Raw genomic sequence first — 26746 nt, 5'->3', positions numbered from 1 at the left:
CAGTTTCCCCACTTATAAAATGGAACTAATAATAGTCCCTACCTCAAAGTACATGAGTTTATACATGTTTTCTCAGTTGCCTAAAACAGCTCATGGAACATGGTAAGCAAATAATAAATATATGCTGAAAAAATGAACTTGTACTGAATTTTCCAAACCAGTGTCGTACTGATTATACTCTGAATGTAGCTACTTGAGTCTGATTCTTCTCATTTCTATTCTTCCCCCAGGTAAACAGTAGCCCTTTCTGACCAGTATATATGTTATTACATATACCCCAGGATCTCAGCACCCAGTGCACGGCAGGGCAACATCTCAGGAAAGCTCCATCCCAGATAGACTCAGCCCCTGACAGCACTGTGTCATTTGAAATTCCCCTCAGCCTTGAATCCCGAGTGCCACCACCCCACTTCTGCTGTTGATGGCTATGGCCATTCATTCCACAAGGGAGCTCTGTCATCCTCTGGGCAGCTGAGGAAAGGCAGAAAAGGAAAAAAGTGTGCTATACCATTTTGCCGTCTCGGCACCTACTGAAGGCCCCTCCATCCCTTCAGACACATCTCACTTCTGAGTGCCAGTCACTATCTCCTCCTTTTCTGTTCCCCCTTAGCTGACTGTGGTCTGCAAATGTCATTTATGTTTTATTGACTTAATAAAACCACCAGTTTATTCAACATTCACCATAGGTCAGTACCTCATTTAGGTCTCATCAAAACTATGATATAGGAACTACTATCATTCTACTTTGCAGATGAGGAAGCAAAAGTGTAGGAAGTTTCTATCACTTGCCCAAGACCACACAATTAGAATCCGAAAAGGTGGTATTGTGTCCACCTAAAAGACCACGTTTCCCGGACAACCTGCAGCCATACACAGTGAATAAGTTGCCAGGTGGGGCTTCCAGGAAGGACTCCTAGAGGGGCTATCTCAATGGGGAAGTTCGCTATTTCCCCGCCCACTTCCTCTTCCTTCCTGCCTGGAACACAACTAGGATTAGACAAGGGTAAATTTGAGGTCGTATGTTAAGGCCACGGAGCAGAAAGGAGTCTCGGACCCTGATGGTCATGAAGCCACCATACAAACCCCATGCTACCTACTCCACACCTGCCACCAAGCCTAGTCCTAACGGTACACCCTAGGAAGGACAGAGGCCCTCAGCCCCATATTTCCTGAGCTACCCTTGAAAGTTTTCAAGACAACTTAATAATTCCTTGTGAAATTCGTCTTTAGGGCAGATTAGCTCACTAATCTGAAATAACTAAAGGCAGCACAGTCTTGTGCTTAAGAATGAAAGAAAACCTAAAATGCGTTTCTAATCTATTCTGAAGGGGAGAGCTTGGTCTTGAATGCTGAGGACATGTCTTCTAAGAGGACATGTCTTCTAAGAATGCTGAGGACATTTTTACTTCAGAGAGGAAATGACACACCAGAATCCTTCGTTTGAATGGATCCAACACTTGAGCGGTGGCTAAATGTCTTATATATTATTTATTTATTTAGAGACAGAGTCTCGCTCTGTTGCCCAGGCTGGAGTGCAGTAGCCCAATTTCAGCTCACTGCAACCTCCACCTCCCGGGTTCATGCAATTCCCCCGCCTCAGTCTCCCAAGTAGCTGGGACTACAGCTGCACACCACCGTGCCCAGGTAAGTTTTGTATTTTTTAGTAGAGACAGTGTTTCGCCATGTTGGCCAGGCTGGTCTCGAACTCCTGACCTCAAGTGATCCCCCCATCTCAGCCTCCAAAAGTGCTGGGATTACAGACATAAGCCACCGTGCCCAGCCACTAAATGTCTTTAAATAGAGTAAAAAGGCCAGCCCCAAGTGGAATTTGGGAGAATTTTACATAACCCACACAGTGTAGGAGAGCAATATAAAGAGACTGGTGAAGTTAGAAATTCATCCTTCTAGAAAACATAGCTAATAGAAAGAAGTGGGAATACAGTTAAAACGCTAGAGCACGGAAGCCCACTATCACTTGAGACAAGAACATCATACTGCTTCTCTAAATAATGGGAGGTTCAGAGCACTGTGTGATGAGCACATTGCCTTCCTGTATTTCCTTCATGACCTTGATTCTCACTTAGAGAACAAGTCTGCCTCATTCGCCAGTCTATCCGAGACCTCCAAGAGTACCCGAGACCAATACTCAATAAATACATTGACCTTAACTACCTACTGTCCTCCCTGGCTCTAGCCTTATCCCCTCCCCAACCACCCTTCATCCCATTGTAGCTAGAGTGGGCCTTAAAAATACACGATTACAGCTCTCCTTTCTCTTCCAACACCCTCTTGTTATTAACCTCATTACAGGACCTTGGCTCTACTTTTCTGTACTTTCCAGCAGTTTGTAGGCTGTTTCATCTCAGTGCCCAGCAGAGTGGAATTTAAAAAATCTGTTAGATGAGTGACTGCTAAGATGTCATACTACAACATGTTAAACTACACGTCTTTTTATTAAAGGATTCTACTTTACGTGCCAATGTTTAGCATGAAGCACTTTGTACTTTTCTAAGCTGAAAGGAAGTATAGCTAAGTAAATGCAACATTGCCTGGCACACAGGAGAGCTCAGTAATTAGTAGCTCTGGATTATACAAGCCTTCTAACATTGAATGTATCGCCACATTTGCTAGCATAGGAGGCTCACACAAGGGTATGAAACACCCTACAAGGAAAGTGTTTTTTTTTTTTAAGTACTTTCTATCACAGATATATTGACAGATTTCAAAGAAGTTTGGTAGGTAAGTGGACCACTGCATCATTGTCCCGTCATGCAAGGTTGTAAAAACTGGCTCATTAGCAGGTCACAAAATCAAATCAGTCTTGGTGAGCATTAAAAATAAAATCACACATTTGTAGCACTAAATATTGTTTTGTAAAATATTTCAGAATTCTAAATTTTGTGTACACAGGGTTATGCTATTAAGCTTCTTACTGGGTGCTGAAGGAAAAAGAAAAGTTAAGAAAGCCTATTTTCTGCTGGGATATTGTTTATTATCAAGTTTCTCTGCTGGGGGGTAAGAAGCATCAAGCTGTTTTGTTTAAGGATGCATTTTTAGTCCTTATTTTGTCATTATGAAAATTATTTTTCATCTTTGACACTCACCTTCCCCATTTTGGTGGAGGGGGTGGAAAATGCTTTTTACCATACTGCAAATACAGTACTCCCTCAATTACCTAGATGCTTAAAGAAATACACTGATTTTTAAAATAACTAGAGTTCAAAGCACACTAAATTTAAATTTTCTTGATGACTAACAGATTTACCCTTAGTCCTCAAGGGTAAATTCTGTTCAGTACGTGTGATCTTGACCTGCCACATTTAAGAGGGAGGATACTTCCTGAAATAGGAAGCATCCAGGACACTCCTTATAAGGGAAGCCCGTTTTCTCATGACCATGCAGACTTTGGTTCAGCAGGGTTGAGCTGAGGCCTGAGATTCTGCATTTCTCACAGGCTCCCAGGTGATGCTGATGCTGCTGGTCCATGGACCACACTTTGAGTCCTGAGGAGCCCAAATGCTGGAGGGAAAGGTGGTGAGACCTTGGCCTGGCCTGCCAGGCCTCTTCTATACTACCTGGGCCACTAGCTCCAACCTGACTGGATGGGACCACAAGGGTTTCCATAGGTAAGAAACATTCTAAAATCTCAGGTAACACTAAGTCTTTCTCTTAAAAAATATACAAAAGGAGTACAAATAAGTGCTTGGTCTCTACAACCTTGGCCTGCCATGGAGGACAAGGCAATTCAGTTTCTGGTCTTCCCTGGTAATGCTGACAGCACAAGTTCTACCCCCTCCAGCAGCCTGGACATCGAGCTGTTTCCGGGCTCCACTTTACCAATCATACACTCACTGCCACTCTGGTCAGTACACAGGGCAGGGTCCCCGCTGTGCACAGGAGGGGCGAGAGGGGGCAGCAGCCTGGAAACATTAAAACAATCCCCTACTCAGAAACTCGGGACTCAGCCAGGTGCAGTGGCTCACGCCTGTAATCCCAGCACTTTGGGAGGCTGAGGTGGGCAGATCACTTGAGGGTCAGGAGTTCGAGACCAGCCTGGCCAACATGGTGAAACACTGTCTACTAAAAATAAAAAAAAATTAGCTGGGCATGGTGGCACATGCCTGTAATCCCAGCTACCCGGGAGGCTGAGGCACGAGAATCGCTTGGACCCAGGAGGTGGAGGTTGCAGTGAGCCGAGATTGGGCTACTGCACTCCAGCCCAGGCAACAGAGTGAGAGTCTGTCTCAAAACAACAACAAAAAACAACTCGGGACACTGCTCAGTCACCTTCTCTTCTCACTGTTGGTGGCACAGAAACACAGTAAGATGGGGACAGATATTTTCTTAAATTCTTGACATGCAGACCCTTAGCAAATACAGACAGCAATTTTCTCTTCTCACAGTCAGCACCTCCCTACTCCCTCCCTCATACCTTTGTCACCTGGCACATTTATACAGACTGGTTCCACAAAACACTTTTTAAATGTGCATTTCTTTAATTTTTAAAAATATACACAGGAAAAGCCATGTGTTTTACATAGGAATACACACATTAACAAAGCATTTCTTATAGTTTTCCAAAACTCTATTATATCAGTCCGAAATTTATAAATTAAATATATCAGAATTCTTAAAGTTAAAATGAATTCCCTGAAACTACTGGATATGCTACTTTTTCCAAAATCAAATGAACAGAGGATATGGATGTGGTTTGTGTTAAATAAGGTTTATTGTTAGCTTTATTGCCTATAGTCTATAAGATGCAACTTTACTGTGCCTTTGCAAACAGGATACATTTCTTAAAAAATTGATCAAAATTTTCCATACATATAGCTCTATATGATAGATTACAGTGCAACACTATTCTCGTTACATAATTATAGAAATACTATAGAACCCAAGAGCACGGGGTAAGCAAAATAAATACAATCCTGAGCCATCTGAACAAGATGATTTGATGAATCCTTTAGTGTAAGTTTAGAAAACACAGAGAAGGAAAAAAATACATGCATACTGCAGTCATGAGCAAAATACATCAAACACCTGTTCCTTGCTAGGTGCAGGTGGGGGCAATGGTGAACTTCAGACACATGCACACTCACTCACACTCCCATTTTCTTCTGCTTCCCTCCCAGCCCCAACACATTCATTCCCGCCCCTTCCCAAAAAAAAGATCAGGCACTAAATCCTAGTGAACCCCACAACTGCCTTGCTGGAGAAGGTTAAGTGACTGCTAAAGTAAGAGTGTATGTAGGTCCTCACCCATAACATGAAACAAAGCATGTGCTGTAAGCCAATTCCAGCTGCTTTTGCCTCTTTGGAAGTAAATGAAGCATATGCCCACTACAGCTTGAAACTGCAGTGGAAATGTCTTGAAAACAAAATTTTGTTTCTCTTGCTATGTCTTGAAGTAAAATCAACAGTGGAAAATTCATCCTAAAACTGCCTCATCTGCTATTAAAATACATTTGTCATTCTATTTTTGGTATCTATTCAATTATAGTTCATTAAGAACGGTTCATGAAGCTTGTACCTGCTTATGGTAAACATCAGTGTACCACACAAAACCTGCCACACCTAGACAGGCTTATGAAACACCAAATCTTCTATGTGTTCCTTGCTAACATTCCCTCAAGACCACAGCATTCTAGTGTTACCAGAGATAAAGTACGTATAGTTAAGTGATGAAAGAAAGGTATTTGGTTTGTGTCGTCACCTTATACATCCTAGTGATGAAACTAACCAAACTATGCCTCCATGCCTTCCCTGAAAATAACCTGAGTCGGCTGACGAAACAGACTGAGCAGCGTGGCTCTCAGTCCACTTTATCAGAGGTTGAGCTGGAAAACCAGAGGGCTAATGTAGTCTACCAGCAGCTTGTGCGGATAACCAAGAGTTCTTGGCTGTTGCAGTATCCACTGTCCCAAAGGCTAAGCCACTGAGGTGGAAATCAATCGCAGCATAAAGAAGACTGAACTTAAGCTGCATAACCTGCGAGACTACCTGGAGAGGACAAAAGAGGATCAGGATCCTCATTTCCCACAAAATGTGGTGTGGGTTTTAGTGTCTCTATGCATTAGCTGCTACAGAGAAGTTAACATTTACTTCATAGCTTTCTTATTTTCAATTAAATGCTCACACTCAAAAAATACACACCCTATGAATATGAGGTGGCTCTTTTCTTCAAATTTTTTAAAATAAAGAGGCACCAATACCCGTTCATTTATGTATTAGAAGTCTCGTATAATCACCAATAAAACAGAAATAGCATCTGTGATCACACAACGGAGAAAAAAGATCAAGAGACAACCTTAGCCACTGTAAAACTGTACTTGAACACTCAGATGCTCTGGCTAAGTCAGAATCTAAAGATTTGCTAATAAGGTTTTATTGGTTTAGCATAGTCCCATGGCCTTTGTCTATAACTGATATGTGGAAACGGTTCCCAAGGAAATTTAAGAAACCATTCTGAAATTCTGCCTTTGATGTACATTATAATTAAATGTGACTGTTATAAACGTTGCCTCTATCATATTATCTTTTGTAAAGTGGAGGCAAAGAGAGACAAAAAGCATCCTCCTGGACTGCTGACATGCAGAAAGCATCAGCGATGATAGGGTTGTGACAGCATTTATGGAGTTTCTAGGGCAGGGGGGACAGAATGCTGTATCTCAGCATCTTTGGTTAAGGTCTGGCCTCTTTAAATCCACCTCTCCCTCACATTTAGTCTCTCATGAATTTTAAGTCCATGCACTTGAAGACGGTCACAAGATATAATTTCCATATAATATGTCAGATTCATAAGAGTTTCAGATTTTTGGTCCTCACCCTGCCCAGTGGGAGTACACGGGCCTTACACAGAAAGCTGCAGAGTCCAATGCTTCAGTTAAAGCATGTTCTTTTCAAAGTTTTCTTGAGCTGCACAAAAAACCGTCAACAGTTTTTTGGCTCCCAGCACTGGGAGAGGGATAAAGCTGAGCTCTGGCTTTTGTCCTTTAAAGTGGCCCAAGCCGACTGTATGAAGAGTCTGGTCATCAAACACATTTACCACCAGCCTTCAGAGTACATCTGTCTCATTCAAACCTTACAGGAAGCCTAAACGTTGTGTAGGTGTTTGGGTGGAAAGATAAGAATAAGCTAAACTTGGCCTAAGGAGAAAAAGGGTAAAAAAAAAAAAAAAAAAAAAGAAAGAAAGAAAAATACAACACTCTAGGTTTTAATTCAAAGGAAAAATATATATATAATAAACTGGTTTACACCCTTGGTCAGACTGTTGCCTGGAATTCTCTACCTTCTCTTTCACAGTCCAAAGAGTTTGTCTCTGTTCTCTTCCTTCACTGCTTTAGCAAAGAGAGGGGGAACTTCAAAGAGGATTCCAACAGTGAAGCAGAATCATGGGGCAAAAGTCGCTATGGGGCCAGACTGAGGTTGGACCACACAAGCACTCCAAGCTGGGCCAATCCCAACCGCTGGTGAAGCCGCACAGCACGGAGTAGCCATCCACATAGGCCTGGCCACATGGTACTCAAGCAGAGGTTTTCCACAGTACTCTTTCTCCTCACAAACAAACCCCAGCTCTCCCAGGTAAACATTTTAGAAAAAACATCCAGGCTGGTGTACTACTGTAAAACGCTGCCAGTTTCTAATTAACTTAGCACCAAATCTGTGATTCCCCCTCCCTCAAACCAAGTCCATCTGTAGTTTAAAATGTGAAGTGCCACATTTCTCTTTGCTTCTGTGTTTTCATTTTCTTTGAAAGTATTCCTATTGATGTTCACTCCATGTCAGAAGAAATAAAGTTGCAAAATATTTGGTGATTTCCGTGTAACGTTCTTCTTATACTGAAGTAACTTCATGGGTTTCGGTCAGAATTATGTCCACAGAAGTCTTTTCCATGTAGTTCGTCATACAGAAAGACTCTTACACATGGCTATTTTTGGACAGTGCATAAATGAAGATACCTCACAAGAGAAAAGATCATTATCTGTATCCATCAGAATAATATACAGATTCACAGTCAATGAGATGATACGCTTTGCAGAAGAGAGGCATCAAACATTATACTATTCAAACACAAAAACAGCAATAAACGTTCTGCACTACAGAAAATTTGCTAGCTTCTAACTTTAAGGATTTAAAGTGATGGGTCTGGTAACTGCATTTTAGAACTGGAACATGCTGCTTTCCTTCCAGATACACAATGTTTGATGCTGGTGCACATATACAATACACACATGCACAACACTGTGTCTGCAATGATATAATAGGGCTACCAAGACCAAGAGAGTAAATATCAACTTAAGAACACTTCTAACTTTAGAATTTCATTTTATTAAACATACTTTTAAAACAAGCACCTCTTGGCAATAAAAGCAAAAACAAAAAACAAACAAACAAAAACCCAACCAAACAATAGTACTCCTTCCACTCTATGCTAACGGAAGACTTCTCACACCAGCCAGTTAAACAATGAAATTCTTAAACACGCAGCCTGCTGGGGCTGCATGCAGAGCTAAAATGCAGGTGTGCTGACTTCTTGGAGCTGGAGCAGAGGAAAACATCAAAAAGCATATCTGGAATCTATCACAGCTTTCTTTCTTAAGCAAATAAAAATGCAAATTAGTTTCATAACCACAATTCAATTTATCAAACTTTTTCTGAAGAATTTTCATTTAATTATGTATACATAACAGGAAATAAAACTTTTTCACAAACACTCTCAAGGCTTACGATTATCAAGAAAATGACAAAAGTAAAAGCAGGAGGAATATTAAACACATGGCGGGGAGGTCAATTTCCGTTTCTGCTCTTAAAAAGTAAAAAAATCACCATATAATTAAGTACAAAAACCTGCATTGAATGACAACTGCTGGTGTATTTACTTGATCAGAAATGAAGACCAAGAATATAATAAAGCCCTATGATAATATTCACCGGGAGCACTCCCCTCAGTGTGTGTACACTAACAGGTTGGCAAAGTTTCTGGAGCATTAGCTTATAGAAACACAGGAGTCCTTGGTTAGCTGCATTATATGGAACGTTCTCTTCTGAAATGCACCCACGATTCAGTTTCACTTACAAATTGCAAACTAAAGTTATCTCTTCAGAAAAATATCTGTTTGGCATCTCCTGGACTTTGTTCCATTGGACAGTAGGGACATTTTAATCTAAAGACAAAGAAGAAAACACTGAGTGAAGGAGCAGGCTCAGTACTGTGTATTCAATTTTTATCTAGTTATAGAGTATCTTTAACAATTATACACACATATAAGAACACACAAAAACAAGTCTGTTTGTATTTTGCTTTGAGGATGAACTATGCTTTCCCTTAATATAACTGCCAAGATTTGAAGGGTCACAAATACATACCACCCATGCCAGATCCTAAATTGTTTCTTAAACAAAACAAAGGTAACTTTTCTGGAAATTGTTTTTGGGGTTTCGAAAATAAATTCAATTTCTCTTTCCCAAAGGTTTAGGTTGCAACAGTCTTTAAATGAATTTCAAATGTACTGGTCACACAATCCATTCAAGGGCAGCAAATCTGATGGCAGCTACAAGCCCACACCAAGAACGGCCCACATGCCTCACAGTGACACATGAAACCAGTACAGCCTGAACTAAGATCAACAATTTTGGCCAGGCAAGGTGGCTCACACCTGGGAGGCTGAGGTGGGTGGATGCTTGAGCTCAGGAGTTTGAGAACAGCCTGAGCGACATGGCGAAACCCTGTCTCTACTAAAAATACAAAAATCAGCCAAGTGTGGTGGTGTGCGTCTGTAATTCCAGCTACTCAGGAAGCTGAGGCATGAAAATTGCTTGAACCCAGGAGGCAGAGGTTGCAGTGAGCTGAGACAGCACCACTGCACTCCAGCCTGAATGATGGAGTGAGACTCAATCGCAAAAAAAAAAAAAGCTGAGCTCACTAACTAAAATAAATTACAAATGCATATATCCTTTGAACCAGCAATTTCAGTTCTAGGAATTTATGTATCAGGTATAGATAATTCACTTAGCACTATGTTTTTTTGTTTTGTTTTGTTTTTTGTTTTTGTTTTTTGAGATGGAGTCTTGCTCTGTCGCCCAGGCTGGAGTGCAGTGGCACAATCTCGGCTCCCTGCAAGCTCTGCCTCTCGGGTTCACGCCCTTCTCCTGCCTCAGCCTCCTGAGTAACTGGGACTACAGGTGTCCGCCACCACACCCGGCTAATTTTTTGTTTTTGTATTTTTAGTAGAGATGGGATTTCACCGTGTTAGCCAGGATGGTCTCAATCTCCTGACCTCGTGATCCGCCTGCCTCGGCCTCCCACAGTGCTGGGATTACAGGCATAAGCCACCACACCTGGCCTTCACTTAGCACTGTTTAGAGAAACAAATGTTCATCAATAGGGAACTGGCTACCCAATCATATTTCTATACAGTAGAATATACTGCAGCTTTAACAAAAAAATAATGAGGGCTGTTTCTGCAGCACAGAAAAAGATCTCCAAAATACATCACTAAGTGAAAACAGCAAAGTACAGAACATTTTTTAGTATGCGACCATTTGTATAAAAAAGGGGAAAATCTATCACCTACCCCAAAAGTTAAGTTAAAGACATGCTTATAAATCTAATCACCAAATCCATAGACACATTAAAAATACTCAAATCAGATACCACCAACTTTGCCAAATGAATAGTTAAGAAATTTATTTAGTTCTAAATCTAGCTACATTTTTTTAATCCTCATCACTTCTTATCCTCCTACCAAGTTCCAAAACAAAATTTATTTGCTAACATTTTTTAAAAGTCAGACACTTACTTGCTACCATTAAACATTTTATTCAGGGCATCTCTTGATATAATATGACCACAGACCAATTTCATGGGTGGATTGTTATCTGTTGTTTGCTGACGAAGAATGGGGCAGGCAAATATAGAGTGATACCAGCACTTTTTACCAAGGTCCACTTCAATCTGTTAAAAAAAAAAAAAAAAGTAAAAAAGCTGAAGTCATATTTCACAAAACCATCCACATGGTAATATACACTGTGCAGCAAAGAACATTGATCAGATCTATTCACCTGAATGTAACTTTCTATAGCACTCTTCTAACTCAGATGGACAGTCTTAGTGATTCAAAGTGTTAAATTAGCCTTCAAGATTATTTTCAAGAAAGCTGACAAAGTGTAAAAACAAGTCTGACAAACAATGACCTGATCACCACCTCTAATGGCTTTACTGGCTTGACACACAGTCTTTAGGTGAATTCAGATTTCAGTCTGCTCTTAGTGCATGTCAGAGATGCTTACAACATAAATGGGAAACTGCCAGATGCCAGGCACCTGCCTCCACAAAACAAGTGAAGGCTCAAGTTCTTTTCACTTGTTCAAGTTAGCGGCAGTAGAGCAGGAGTGCTACTTGTGTCCTGACCACACTCAGGACCAGGACTGCACCTGTGCCTTTAATCAGAAAAGATCTTTGAGGAGAAGCTGGGGCAACCAACTGACAGGGTTACCTGCTGGAAGAACAAGGTAACTGCAAATAAACCCGTGTACAGGTGTGGTATAAAACGGGCAAAAAAACAAATGCGTATGTTAGCTTTTCAGGGTCTGTGACACAATCATGACAGGAACGACAATTCCAGGCCAGAGCCTCAGTGCCTGTCAGAGACCTGGTGGAAACATACATACAATGACCTTCGCCACTTCACATCATAACTGCACCATGGCAGCCACAATTTGAGTGCCTACCATGTATCCCGTCTTATTCTAAGCATGCTTATGTTATCTCTAGCCTTCAGCAGCCCCATAAAGAGAAAGCTGGTGCTTGTCTTAGAGATGAATACACTACTGCTTAGAGAAGTTCTAGAGTTGGCAAGTGATCGTGCTGATGTTTAAAACCATGGTCCTTTCCATGAGAGCAGTAGAAATACAGTACTAGAGACCCACTGATGACTGCAGGTGTTACGACCTTTAAGAGCTCTATACTTATTCTATTGGCAAATGTAACCAGCACAAACTCGTGATCTTATCGACAGCAATAGTTAAGACAAAAGTAAAACCAATTAAATTTGCGTTTATATTAGAAAAACAATCACAGGAGTGGTCTGTGAACTGCACTGCAGAACACACTGCCTGCTACTGTATGTACAGCCCTCCCCACTTCTGATGTTTCCCTTCACCAGCTTTCAAAGGCACTTCAAGTCAAAATTATAATACTCCTCCTCCAGGGTCCCCAAAATGTACTAGGCTCTTCATTTGTATTGTTTAATCTTTTATATATCCATAAAAGAACTCCTGTCAAATGGCTACAATGTTTCCTGGTTAAAAGGTAAGATGAACATTTAAAGATGCCATATTCTTCTAATGGCAGTAAAAGTAAATAGCCAATAGAAAATGGAACTCACAGGTAATTCATCTTTCTGGTTCCAAACTCCAGTACACTGCCTCTGTTCAATCACGGCTTTGATGTTAATTAAAGCTGGCAGCGCCACACAACCTGCTGAGAAACTGGGAGAGCAGAAGAGGAAACGTCAGTGCCAGGCCAGGGGTCAGGCCGCTTGGTCCAAGGAGACATCAATTTCTCCAGACTCTATGTGCTGCAGACCCTGGCCACTGGACAGGGTGAGAGCTTTCTGTTCTGCTAAAAGTAAATCCAGCCATTTCCACTAGAAGAGAAATAACTTGTTTTCCCTCCCCTTCTTCCCCAGGCCCACTGGTATATTTCCTGAAGTTACTGAAAACCAATCCCAGTTAAAAAACAAAACAAAAAATAAAACTCTAAATTTTCTAAATAAACCTCACCAATATGGGGGTAAATGCAGTTAAAGAACGCAAACGTTAAAAAAAAAAAACTCATCTGCTAGGGTAATTTAACTTTAGCTTACTTCCTCAGAAAATAGAAAAATAAAGTTTTAAAACATGCATTTTAAAAAAGAAAGCAGCTTTGGAGAACCAATTAATTCAAATGAAGAGCAGGAATTAAGAACTACTACACTCTTCCAAATACAGTAGTTTTAGCATCTGAGTTTGAAGGAAAAAGAGATGTTCTTGCACAAAATTCTTCACTCAGCAATATACAAGACATAACTTCCTTTCCTATTCCCTTCCTTACAGACCATATACCACCAGACTTATTTTTCTTACAAAATGTGCTCCAAGGTATACGCTAATTAGAACAATGATACTCAAAATGTGGTCTGCAGATGGTGCTGATTTACACACCATTTTCAATCCACAGGAAAGAAGTACAGAATTGAGAATAAGGTTTTTAGAGAATTTAATAACAGCAGATGGTGGTGGCTCACTCCTGTAATTGCAGCACTTTGGGAGGCCAAGGTGGGAGGATTACCTAAGTTTGAGAGTTTGAGACCAGCCTGGGAAACACAGTGAGACCCCCGTCTCTACAAAAGATATAAAAATTAGCCATTAGCCAGGTATGGTAGCATGTGCCTAGAGTCCCAGCTACTGAGCAGGCTGAGGTGGGAGGATGCCAGGAGGTTGAGGCTGCAGTGAGCCACGATCGTGCCACTGCACTCCAACCTGGGCAACAGAATGAGACCCTGTTTCAAAAAGTAAAATATAAAGAATTTCATAATAATCTTACATTAGTGCCAAAAAAGGTTTTATATTGCACAAAACAACTGGATTTAATGGGCTCAGCTTATCAGTCAAATGACATGCTTGCTCCTGAAACATTTTTTTTGCATAGTTCCTCTTATCCCCAGATCACCCCTGTCCAGGGTGGAAGCACTCATTTCTCAGATCTGGAAGTGTTGGCAGCCAACTCTCAGCTGTGTCCGTCTCTTCAGGACTGTCCTCAGTTGAAGAGAGTCATCTGACCAGAGTCACATCCAGCAATTGCTCCATGTGAGGGTACAAAACCCCAGCCCTATAGGCCCAATTTGGGACAACTCCACGGGCCCACAGCAGCTCCAGAGCTCCTCACGGATGGGAGACACCTTGTTGCCACTCTAATACAGTCCAACTTTCCTCTCTGCCCAATCCTGCTGTTTTCATTCTCCCACAGGTGCTGATGTCAGTAAACTTTCTGCATGTACATTCCCACTTTAGAGTCTTCCTCAGAGAACTTGATGGCATCAGCGCCTCACATTATAGCTAATTGCATCTGTCCACTCCTACGCTAGGATGGAGCACCCTGTGGAATGCACCTTATTCATCTTCATATCCAACACAGTGCCCACAGTGCCTGGCACATAGCAGGTATGCAAAACATTTGTGGAATTAAATGAATAGAAGAGCTAAAAAAGAGTTATTTTCTTACAACAGTTTCTTAAAATGTTTTGGTTTCAGGACCCCTTTATATGCTTAAGTATTAAGGATCTCAAAGAGCTTTTCTTTTTGTGGATTATATCTTTAATACATTAGAAATTAAAATGAGAAACATAAAAGGTGCCGATTAGTTCATGTAAAAATAAAATACCATGCCATTATTGCAAACATTCTTATAAAAAAATAACTACAGTTTCCAAAACAAAAATATATGTGTGAGAAGAGTGGCACTGTTCCAAACTCTCACAACTCTCCTGAATGCCTACCTTAACAGAAAGACAGCTGGATTCTTATAGTTTACTCTGCATTAAATCTATTGTGATACGTTCTTCTGGTTGAGGTAAATGAAAAAAAACCTTGTTTCACACATATGTGTAGTACTACTTTGATCACTTTGGATCATTGTGGATACTCCTCCTTAATACCACACGAAAACTGACTTTTCATAGTTTTGGCCAAAACAGGTAGTAGTTTTCTAAAGGTTCGCTGCAGAGCAGAATCTGAAACTTTACCATTAAACTTTTTGTACCCTGCTACATTAAAATCCATTTGTCTGTCTTGTACTTTGAATGACTCTTTTACTCATGCATGCTTTTGTAAAATCATACTTAATTAAGACCTTTCAAATGTGACAGGCTTGCTTCGTTCACTTAAAAAAATGGCTGGGTGATGTGGCACACAACTGTACTCCCAGCTACTCAGGAGCCTGAGGCAGGAGAATCACTTGAGCCCAGGAGTTTGAGTCCAACCTGAACAACATAGCAAGAATGTCTTAAAAATTTAAGAAAAAAGACAAAAAAAAAAAAAAAAAAAAAGACTGCCAAAAACCTGAGTGTGCGTAACTATGTTAATGATTCTTCCAAGTAAAAACTATTCCAAGGCTGGTGCGGTGGCTCACGCCTATAAACCCAGCACCTTGGGAGGCCAAGGCAGTGGATCGCCTGAGGTCAGGAATTCGAGACCAGCATGGCCAACATGATGAAACCTTGTCTCTACTAAAAATACAAAAATTAGCTGGGCGTGGTGGCAGGCGCCTGTAATCCCAGCTACTCCAGAGGCTGAGGCAGGAGAATCGCTTGAACCCAAGAGGTGGAGGCTGCAGTGAGCTGAGATTGCGCCACTACACTCCAGCCAGGGGACAGAGGGAGACTCCATCTCAAAAAAGCAAGAAAAAAACAAGTAACAAACAAAACAAGTATTCCATGAAAAAAAGTGACCAGCTAGCTCATAACTCAAAACAACATACTTTTTCTCAAGACAATTACCATACTTTGACATGAAACTGAAGTGCTTTATGTGGATTTCCTATTTTGTCATACAAATTATTAAGATGATGTGTACTGAAAGGTCAAGATTTAATAAAACTAATAATTTTAATGTTTCACCAAGAACATCCTTTTTTAAAAAAGTTTTCTGTAGAAATGGAGTCTAGCTGTGTTACCCGGGTGGGTCTTGAATTCCTGGCCTCAAGAGATTCCCCCCACCTCAGCCTCCCAAAGTGCTGGAATTACAGATGTGAGCCACCACACCAGGCCAAGAATATTCTTTTTTTCTTTTCTTTTTTTTTTTTTTTTTTTTTGAGACAGTCTCGCATTGTTGCACGGGCTGGAGTGCAATGGTGCAATCTTGGCTCACAGCAACCTCCGCCTCCTGGGTTCAAGCGATTCTTCTGCCTCGGCTTCCCGACTAGCTGGGATTAAAGGTACCCGCCACCACGTCCAGCTAATTTTTTGTGTTTTTAGTAGAGGCGGGTTTCACTATGTTGGCCAGGCTGGTCTCAAACTCCTGATCTCGTGATCCACCCTCCTAGGCCTCCTAAAATGCTGAGATTACAGACGTGGTTAAGTAAAACTAGCATTTCTTAAACTGCAAGTGTGTGGTGGTGAGGAATCCAGCTATTCGTGGAGTTTGTACCACCGCCCCAACTTGTGCTAAGGCTCTAGCAGTTTAGTCCACCACTGTTTCTGGACCATCTGTACTAATGTCAATACAGTGGAAAAGGCTCTCAGGATCCTGTGAGGTTCATACACCACACTTTCAAAACTGCTTCTCTAAAACAGCATCACTGCCAATTGTGATATCTTTTGAAATACCAATTGCACTCTTCTTTGGAAAGACAAAAGTTATTTTGGCTTTAAACATCAAGAACCAAACAAGTTAAGGGAAGGTGATAATGCAGTGCATACTTCAATAACAGACAGGGCTAATTTCCATACCTGACACTGAGAGGGGACTCCACGGAGAGCCCCAGGAGGGCACAAGCATCCCGTGTAAAGATGTCACAGATATCAGCCCACTGGTTTGCATCAAGTAGGTGAACATATGGTGAGTTCTCAATCCCTTGTCTCAGGTACACAAGGCTTCCCATCAAAACCTGAATGTCTAAAAAAAGCACCAGCAAGAAAGCATTAGTTTGCTTGCAGTAATAAGCTGCGAAAAGCAAGAATACCCCCACCCATACTGATACAGCCTAAAATAATGTATTAACAGGTCTTTTAAAATTCTGGTCCTTAAGCTTGGTTTCTTCCTTCATCCTAAATTAAACAGCATGGAGAGAAAAGGGAAGAAAAGGAAAGCAGTGAAAATACTGAACTTATAATTTAAATTCTTCTCTACAGCATAGTATAATTACCATTACCTAGAGAAGTAACAATTATGTCATCACATTATCTCTGACTGCAGAGTTAATGTTTCCTACACAGTTTCGTGGGGTTGACAGTTGCCACCTTGGCTCTCTGACACTTTGCTGTGGCAAGAGCAGCAGCATACAGCCAGGTGGGGGTGGAAAAGAGCAAGTGCACACCTTGCTCTTTCTCACATCTCCTCTAAGTTTAATATGGAATTCCAAAATCTGCAACATCTCTGACTTCTAAGAGGCTTTAATATTTTTGTTTTTGTCTAGAGCCAGTCAGAACTTTTCCTGTAAGTGATTATCAACTACAACTGTTTACTGGCAAACAGGTATTAGCTCTAGTTAAGAACTGTTAAGTTACAGTGGTGGCTATAGCCCTGTTTCAAACATTAATAACATCTGACTCTAGACTCACCTTTTTGATGATTTAGGGCAAATGGCTGAAAATTTTTAGCATATTGTAATGCCTCTCGCTGATTTGTGGTTCCACCCATTAACAAGCTAATAAAATACAGTCTGTGTAGCTTAAATTCCAAGGAGCTGTTTTGAGCTATAAGCATTTCCCGGTTTGACACTGCCCACCTAAAGAAAAGGCAAAAAAGACTTTAAGAATCAAAAGCATAAGCAAGGTGTCTTAAAAACTATTTGAAACCCAGTAAAACAAAAAAGGGGCTTGGTCTGCCATCTTGTGGAAGTCTATGGTAACATCAATCCCTAGGGCCCAGACCTTTGTCAGGAAAGTAACCACCAATAACTACACTTGCAGAGGCCCTTCAGCCAGTGAAAGAAAAAGCATTAAGATAGACAATCACTAGAATGACTCTCATGTGTCACATGATGCATCTGAACTTGCATAGGACCACACTTTGAAGCGGTGTCAGCCACGAGATTCACAATTAAATTGCCTAGATCCACTGCTCTTTTCCTACAAAACTGGCCTAATATATACAAGCATGAATCAAAGATCCTGAAAGGGAACTATACTTTTAAACTTTCAATAGTTGCAAGATTTTGTTCACTTTGTGATTAAAAACAGTAAATACCATTATTTCCCCTCAAGGTGCTTTCAATCTGATCAGGAAGATAAAGCTAGACAAGTATCATACAGTAAATCTTACTGTGCAAAATGATTTGTACAAACATAGTTCTAATAAGGGAAAAAACAAGATTCAATTTTAAATGAGCCAAAATACAGCCCCTCGGGCTTCTATAGAACAGTTGGAATAATCAATCTTGAACTGGAACTACCAAGTCAGGTGAGGGCAAAGGCAGGAAAGTATATAGCCAGCTGTTAAAATCAAATTTTGCAATAAGGCAATAAGGAAACAGTACTTTATTTCTCTAAATATATTAATATATAGAAGCTGTTAGCATTATATTATTTAATTTGACCATCAGTTAGACAAATACTCCCCACCTAACCTAATTCACCAAAGACCACTAGAATCTGAACTGGGTAAGAATACAAAATCTCAGTAACTCCATAAACCACAAGAGTAAAATCTTTCAAATTATTTATAATGAATTTGCTGATTGAGATTGGACTTCACAGAGCTGCACTTTTACTGGGTCCTAACCTTCCCAGAAAGGGCTGCACAAGCATGTAAACATTCTAATTAACTTGCTGATGTATTCACACCTTACAGTCAAATCATGAGGCTTCTTTGACTTCAAAGTCAAAGTGATTTTTAAAAATATTAATCATCTGGATCTTGGAAATATTTACCTAAATTTGTAAGCCTTGGTTCCTTGCCTGGCACTAAAATGATGCAGTCAAGTGGTAACACCAAGTCAGGTAAACCTGCTGACAATAATGTACTTTTTTTTTTTTTGGAGACGGGGTCTCACTCTGCCACCCAGGCTTCTGTGCAGTAGTGTAATCGTGGCTCACTGCAGCCTCAGCCTCTCGGGCTCAAGTGATCCTCCTACCTCAGTCTCTGAAGTAGCTAGGACCACAGGTGTATGCTGCCATTCCTGGCTAATTTTTTTAAAAATTGTTTTTGTAAACACTATGTTGCCCAAGCTGATTTTGAACTCCTGGGCTCAAGTGATCCTCCCGCCTCAGCTTCCCAAAGTGCTGCGGTTACAGGTGTGAGCTTCCGTGCCTGGCCAACCAGCAAAATACTTCTGGCAGTGGTCTTTCGTGAATGCCCCACATCAATCAACAGTACCAACAGCACTGTGCTTTTTGCAGTCTCTAGTCTGCCAGGCACCTTACAGATTTCCAGTTCCAAGTAGTGCATTTAAATTAGATCACTTTCAAAAGTTTATACACCCCTTCAATCATATAAGCATGAGTATGTTTTCCTACTAGCAAGTAAGGAAAGGCAGTAAGATTTTTCTTTTTTCTCTTTCTGATACGAGATGTATGTGTAAGGGCTTGTAAAGTCAAAGACTGGAGCTAATAGAGTAACTACAAATTTTAATTTTAAAAAAGTCAATAGAAAAAAACGAAAAATTCATAAATAGACAATTCACAAAAAAACTCATTTTCATAGGAATATGTTCATGATATAGTGTTAAATGGGAGGAAAGTGTGATTTTCTATTTTTTATTTTTATTTTTGAGAAAGGGTTTCACTTTCGTTGCCCAGGCTGCAGTGCAGTGGTGCAGTCTCAGCTCACCACTGCAACCTCCGCCTCCCAGGCTCAAGCGATTCTCCCGCCTCAGCTTCCCAAGTAGCTGGCACCATAGGTGCACGCCACCGCACCCAGCTGTTTTGTATTTTTTTGAAGAGACAAGGTTTCACCATGTTGCCCAGGCTGGTCTCGAACTTCTGGGCTCAAGCCATCCTCCCGCCTTGGCCTCCCAAAGTGCTGGGATTACAGGTGTGAGCAATTGTGCTCAGCTTGAAAGTGTGATATATATATATGATATATATGATATATATGATATATATGATATATATGATATATATGATATATATATGATATATATATATATAAAAAAATATTTTTTTTTTTTGAGACAGAGTTTCACTCTGTTGCCCAGGCTGGAGTGCAGTGGCAAGATCTCAGCTCACTGCAACCTTCGCCTCCCAGGTTCAAGCCATTCTCCTGCCTCGGCCTCCCAAGTAGGTGGGACTACAAGCATGCACCACTGCATCCAGCTCATTTTTGCATTTTTAGTAGAGATAGGGTCTCACCATGTTGGCCAGGCTGGTCTTGAACTCCTGGCCTCAGGTGATCCACCCACCTTGGCCTCCCAAAGTGCTGGGATTACAGGCGTGAGCCACCATGCCCAGCCAAAAGAGTGATACATTTTTTAAAGTAATTTTTAGACACCAGAATGTTTAGCAGTAATGACTCTGGGATTTCAAGCATTATTTATCAACTGCTATACCATGGGCCATGACTAATCGGAACAAGGCACCAACTCTTAGATCAGCACCAGGGGTCTGAAACCACCAGGAAGACACACCAATCAATACCATATTACAGTGATTTCTGTAACAGTCTATGCTGTCCTATATTTTCCAGGTTTTCTGTAATGAACATGTATTAATTTTATACTTTAAAAGGCAGTAACTTTTTAAGCTAATGTAAAAGTAAAATTTCTTAACTTCCTTTTTTTAAATGAACAGGCCTATAGAGTAATTATAAATTACTTTTCCTGAAAGTTATGAATTATCAATTTAAGCTTTATAAGCTATAAACACCTGTACGCCACTTAACCTGGAGAGGCATTTATTTAGACAAATATAATTTTTAATGTACTAAATTTATGTTTGCACAGTTTCAAATTTTGCTATAAACAAGGCTATGAAATAAGAAAAAAACTAGCATTGCTTAATTCCTCCCCACTCCTTGCCAAGAAATATTTAGAAAAGTAAGTAGATACCTTTACAAAAAGGAACTGGGAGGAGGAGAGGACAACACAAAACCCAAATTCATAGAATACAAGTTTTCAAATTTCTTAAAAGTCGTATTTCTTTGCATCCTATTCTGAAACAATACTGTCCTCATTTAACTTCTTAATACTATATTAAGACTAAATTGTACAAGGCAAGGGACTTCCAAGCTTCTCCCTCCCTGGCAAAATGTCATTTTCTAAACCAAGGATGAGATACCCCACTTTTAACTCTCCCAAACATTGAAGCACATGTAAGCAATTAAGGTGAAATCCTCACCTGACATGATAGGACCTCTCTCTTATACCTCCAGGATTGTACCCAGAAACCCACATTTGTATTTTCTTGACCTCAATTCCCTGGCCACAGTTAACTGGCCAAATAAGCATAGGTTTTATTCAAAGTCACTCTCCGCAGCTGCCTCCTAATAAGAAAGTCAATCTATTTTTAACTCTATTCACTATTCTTCACTATTCTATGCCTCTTGCTAAGCTCTGGTATCAAGAGTTGCCTTCTGTGATGATCATTGTTAACATCCGCCTTAATGAATCCTTGACATCTGAGTACAAATTTCACAGCAGCATCCTTACTCACAATAGCAGCTTCCTCAGATAGCTTTAGTCAATTCACAACTTCTGAACATGATAAAAGCATCTTTTACTGGCTGTGAAGTTCTTCAATATCCTTGTAATTACCATCTTCTTTCAATAAGGCAACTATTATCAATTTGGCCCGAATAGTAGCCAAACTGATTCACACACACACACACACACACACACACACACACACACACTTCTCTCTCTCAATCCAAAGTAGAAGTAAATGTTCCATCTAAACCACAAGCATCTTTCTATTCTAGTGCAATATAAGTGAAAAGATGGTGAAGTGACTTTACCCTCGTCTTTATAGTGACAGGACTTTTCCAATATGCTTTGTACCATTAGCTTCCTGTAGGCTTAGGTCTTGCCCTAGCTTCATCTTGCTGTTGTCCTTTTTCAAATCTTTCTAATCACATTCAATTTCACTTCTAGAGGTTTTTCTTGTTGCCAAGTCCGTCTTCCAATTATCCATTTTTGTAAAATGTCACGTGGGTTTATCCCTGGGAGTTAAAGAGGTGACACAACCCACACAGCTGTTGCCTGAGAGTAACTGACAGTAGATGTGCAGTGATCAAGAGCGAAGTGACAAAACTGGTCATGACCATGATGCTCCTGTTATGTCCAGATGTGTAGACTGAAGAGCTGGCAGAGAAGTCTGTATTTTATACAATTGCTCACAGTTAATACATCATGGTGACTGAAATCTGAACTGTGTTGTTGGCAGCCAGGTGTTATTTAACTAAACTGTGGTAAAAACGAATTTATGTATGTTAGAAACCTGCAAAGACTGCCCATAGGTTCAATAAAGAATACAAGGGCTGGGTGCAGTGGCTTAGGCCTGTAATCCCAGCACTTTGGGAGGCCGAGGTGGGTGGACCACCTGATGCTGGGAGTTTGAGGCCAGCCTGATGAACATGGAGAAACCCCATCTCTACTGAAAATACAAAATTAGTCGGGTGTGGTGGCGCATGCCTGTAATCCCAGCTACTCAGGAGGCTGAGGCAGGAGAATCGCTTGAACTCGGGAGGCAGAGGTTGTGGTGAGCCAAGATTGCGCCATTGCACTCCAGCCTGGGCAACAAGAGTGAAACTCCGTCTCAAAAAAAAAAGAATACAAACAGGAGAGAAAGGACACAGAGATCTCAGTGGTAAGAGGTTACTTTATAAAGACAAAGAAGTTCCAGACTGATATAATGAGGAAAGACATAAAGTTTGAGAACCTGAGCAAGTCAGGGTGTCTGTGGCCCATTCTCATAAATCTTAAAGAATTACAAAGAAAACGAAATTCGTTTTCTATTTCTCACTAAAATGATTCCTGCCCCTGCCCCTCCCCCTTCCTTCCTCCCCACGTTTTTGTTTTTGAGACAGAGTCTCATTCTGTTGCCCAGGCTGGAGTACAGTGGCGTGATCTCGGCTCACTGCAACCTCTGCCTCCCGGGTTCAAGTGATTCTTGTGCCTCAGCCTCCCGAGTAGCTGGGGTTACAGGTGCTCACCACCGCGCCTGGCAAATTTTGTATTTTTAGTAGAGATGGTGGGGGGCGGGGGGGCAAGCAAACTAAAAATGCAGTGAAATTATTAACTCTATAATTTTTTTAAAAAAATTCTGATCCCAAATTTCCAGCGTGGACCACGAGAACACTGTCACCTTTGGAATTACTCCATTTAGAGAAACACTGAACCCCAAAAATGACAGTAAGATCAACAGTGTTACACTGATCTCTGCCACTACATTCTTCTGATGAAGAGCCTTTTGGGGCCTTTCCACCAACAAACCCCAAAACAATATTACTTATGAGAAGACTAAGTTAGAAGCAATCCACATCTATACAATTACCCAGCAGAAACATTAGCATTAATTATCTTAATTGTCAGGCCTGTGAAAAGACTTGGCACACAGTTACCTCCATATTTAGAATTTCTACATCATTCCAAAAATAAATACAAGATTTCACCTTCATAGTTAGCGGTTCTCCCTCAGGAACCTAACAGACAGCATTAGTGGGCTTATCTCTCTAATCTTACAATTTTGCCAGCCTGGGTGGGTGTCTATTTCTAGTAATACTAGGGAAAAAAAGCCTCTTGCCAATCCCACAGCACATTCCACTGTAACCTTTCACAGCATTTAAAGGCTTACAAAAACCTCTTTTTCTAATTTCCTTTAAGGCTATACTCTTGGGGGTAAAAGCTGAAGTTCAGGGGAATGAATGACATTGATTTTTACTCCACAGGTGTGGACCTGGTGAAATGTCCTTAGTAACATGAATCAAATGCTTAAAAAAATTCAGAGAATGGCAAACCTGACAAAAAGTTCAGTCAAAAAAGTGAGGAACTCTGTAACTTTGCTTTAGAGACTGAAAAGAACACTCAGTGTTTCATTTCTTAGATATTTTCAAATGGTAATTTTTCAGCTATGGGCTGAGTCCACTGCTGGAACTACTACCATTAAACTCATCTCAGAGTTGGTGTGAGTCTCTGTCCTTTTCACATGCTATTTAAGAAACCACACAAACTATGGTATTGCATATCTGACTCTATTTAAGACACACACACACACCCTTTTACATGAGGTTCTCAGTAATGCAGAGATTAGTAAGAGCTACACATAGGAGTGGTCACCATATTGGACAACATATCTAGCAGGCATGCTCAAAATAATGTGCAACGGATATTCAATGCTGCATCACTTATAAAGCAAAATATCGGAAACTACAAACGTCCATCCATAGGAACTGGCTAAATAAAATTAAGGTATAATCCCTAAAAGAGAACACTAAGCAGCCACCAAAAAAAAAAAATAGTTCTATATGCTCTGATATAGGCAAATACTTCAAAATTTTTCAAGTAAAAAGCAGAACACTGTGTATAGTATGCAACCACTTGTGCATAAAAATGTACGTATACATAATACAGTTAATGGTGGCTGCCTGTTTGGAGAGTAACTGTGATTAGAAGGCAAAGGTGGGGAGATTTACTTTTCACTGTATTTTTATCTTGTTGTGCCTTTTGATTTTGTACTCTTATTTATTACCTATTGGGATACTTAATGCTGACTCAAAACTCGACCAAGGCAAGCCAAGGACAATTTTGAGAAAAGGAGTCAGTGAATGAAGTCTGAACTGCCCAACGGCTCTGCAACACAACCTCCATGGTGGACATAATGGCATCAGGACATTTTAGCCTGAGAACTTTGAACATTTTCTAGAACAATCTCCTCTTGTTCCAACTCCAGGCTTTGCAAGCTCATGTGCCTTCCACATGGACCTGCCTACCACAAGCTTGTTTCACAGCCCCTAATAATCCAAACTATGTACGCAGCTTAGCAATTCAGGTTTTTATCGTTTTTAAAGGCCTGTTCTTAGTGAAAACAAAACAAAATAAGGACACCAAAAACAAGTTTCCAAGTCTGCAAAGCTGAAAGTCAGATACTAGACTGTGGCAAATCCAGCAAGGTAGTATTACTCTTTGAGACACGTTTAGGAAGGCAACCAAGTAGCTTCCCCTAAAGATAGTGCTTTCTTTCAATATGTATGTTAATAATGGCATAGCTACAAGGACAGTTCCTATTTTTTCTAATATTTCCCCCACCTCGTTGTATTAAGTTACTATTCTCTCGTTAACACTATTTTTGGCTTTCTATCTGCCACCATGGAAGAGGATGACAAGTTTGCTCTAAATTCTCCTGCAGATTACTGTTATTCATTGAGGGCCTACTATGAGGTAAGCACTACTCTAGGCGCCAAGAGAAATTCAAAAAGCAAATAAAACAATCTGGGTGAGCATAAAAGAAATCTGGATGAGGGGGAAAATCTGTACAAACTCAGAGGTACAAGGGCACGGAACACAGGAGCAGGCAAGGTCCTGATTAGATCTATGTAATCAGGTGTTGTTCTGCCACTTCTCTCCACAATATCACCATTCCCCTAGGCCCTCAATGGCCTTTAGCCACCTCCACTTTTTTTTTTTTTTTTTTTTTTTTTTTTTTTTTGAGACTGAGTTTCACTCTTGTTGCCCAGGCTGGAGTGCAGTGGCGCGATCTTGGCTCACCGCAACCTCCGCCTCCCGGGTTCAAGCGATTCTCCTGCCTCAGCCTTCCTGAGTAGCTGGGATTACAGGCATGCGCCACCATACCTGGCTAATTTTGTATTTTTAATAGAGATGGGGTTTCTCCACGTTGGTCAGGCTCGTCTTGAACTCCTGACCTCAGATGATTCGCCCGCCTTGGCCTCCCAAAGTGCTGGGATTACAGGCATGAGCCACCGTGCCCGGCCTAGCCACCTCAAATTTTTGGCTGGCCTCTGCCTTCTCACCGCATAGGCAGTCTGGAGGAATTGCTGCATCCTCTCCTTCCTCTTTTCCCTTGTGAGCTCCATGATATCCTTCCCAGCAGGAACAAATGGGATGCTGCATAACTGGCAGATATCTCCCGCCTTGTACCTTAACTAGAATTCCCCAAATTGGAGTCCCATATCATTCAACTTTTGCTGTAAGTTGAGTAAAGGGAATTTTCTGTACCTAGCTCATGAAAGATGCTTAGTCAGTATCTGCTCTGCACCCACAATAGGCAAGAATTGGAAAAATCTGAATTGTTGTAATGACGATTTCTATTAAATCTTATGTTTTGTATAACTCCAATTTTATGGGTTTTAAATGTGTTATCTGGAGGGAAAACAAGATTGGTCAAATACACAGAGAAAACACTGGGTTATACCAAGTTAAATGAGTTTCTTTACTGTAGGATTACTGATGGTACGTTTTTACTTCTATTTATTTTCTTATTTTTTGAGACAGGATTCGGCTCTGGAGTGGTGGTGTGGTCTTGGTTCACTGCAGACTCCGCCTCCTGGGCTCAAGTGATCCTCCCATTTCAGCCTCCTGAGTAGTTCAGACTACAGGCGTACACCACCATACCCAGCTAATTTTTCTATTTTTTTGTAGAGATAGGGTTTTGCTATGTTGCCCAGGCTGGTCTCGAACTCCTGGGCTCAAGCGATCTGCCCACCTCAGCTTCCCAAAGTGCTGGGCTTACAGGTGTGAGCCACTGCACCTGGCTTGATGATACACTTAATAAGTTAAAATGAACCTCAAATGAGAATACTGGGGGACTATTATGTAAAGCATTTCTCATATAATCTTTTGACTTTTTTTCACAGAGGATCTTCTAGGCCCTAATTGCTTCTCTGTAAGATGACTTACCTCATAGGTTAATATGAGGGTTGAATAGGTTAAGACACGTAAAATGCTTAGAACGATGCTAGGCATACAATAACCACTCAAGCAGAGTTAACTATGATTACCACTACATTCCCTCATGCTGATATTAAACACTACTCCCAGAAACATGAAATGAGAAAATTTTTACTTATGGAACAAGTCCTCTCTCTGCCTGAGAGG

General features: G+C 40.8%; 1 protein-coding gene across 1 annotated transcript in view; it reads right to left on the bottom strand.

Moving 5' to 3' along the window:
* Window positions 1-4473: 4473 nt before the first annotated feature.
* Window positions 4474-26746, bottom strand: part of RMND5A (required for meiotic nuclear division 5 homolog A) — a 57751-nt gene continuing 35478 nt past the window's right edge. The window contains exons 5-9 of the mRNA NM_022780.4: window positions 17322-17488; window positions 16491-16656; window positions 12390-12492; window positions 10803-10957; window positions 4474-9167 (exon numbers count right to left, since the gene is read on the bottom strand). Of these exons, the coding sequence (NP_073617.1) occupies window positions 9104-9167; window positions 10803-10957; window positions 12390-12492; window positions 16491-16656; window positions 17322-17488 (655 nt within the window). The 3' untranslated portion in view covers window positions 4474-9103. The remainder of the gene's footprint in view (window positions 9168-10802; window positions 10958-12389; window positions 12493-16490; window positions 16657-17321; window positions 17489-26746) is intronic.

The sequence above is a fragment of the Homo sapiens genome, chromosome 2 (assembly GCF_000001405.40).
Source record: "Homo sapiens chromosome 2, GRCh38.p14 Primary Assembly".
In the NCBI taxonomy this organism is placed as follows: Eukaryota; Metazoa; Chordata; class Mammalia; order Primates; family Hominidae; genus Homo; species Homo sapiens.
Note: the sequence above shows the minus strand (reverse complement) of the source record. Positions and strands in the feature narration are given on the sequence as shown.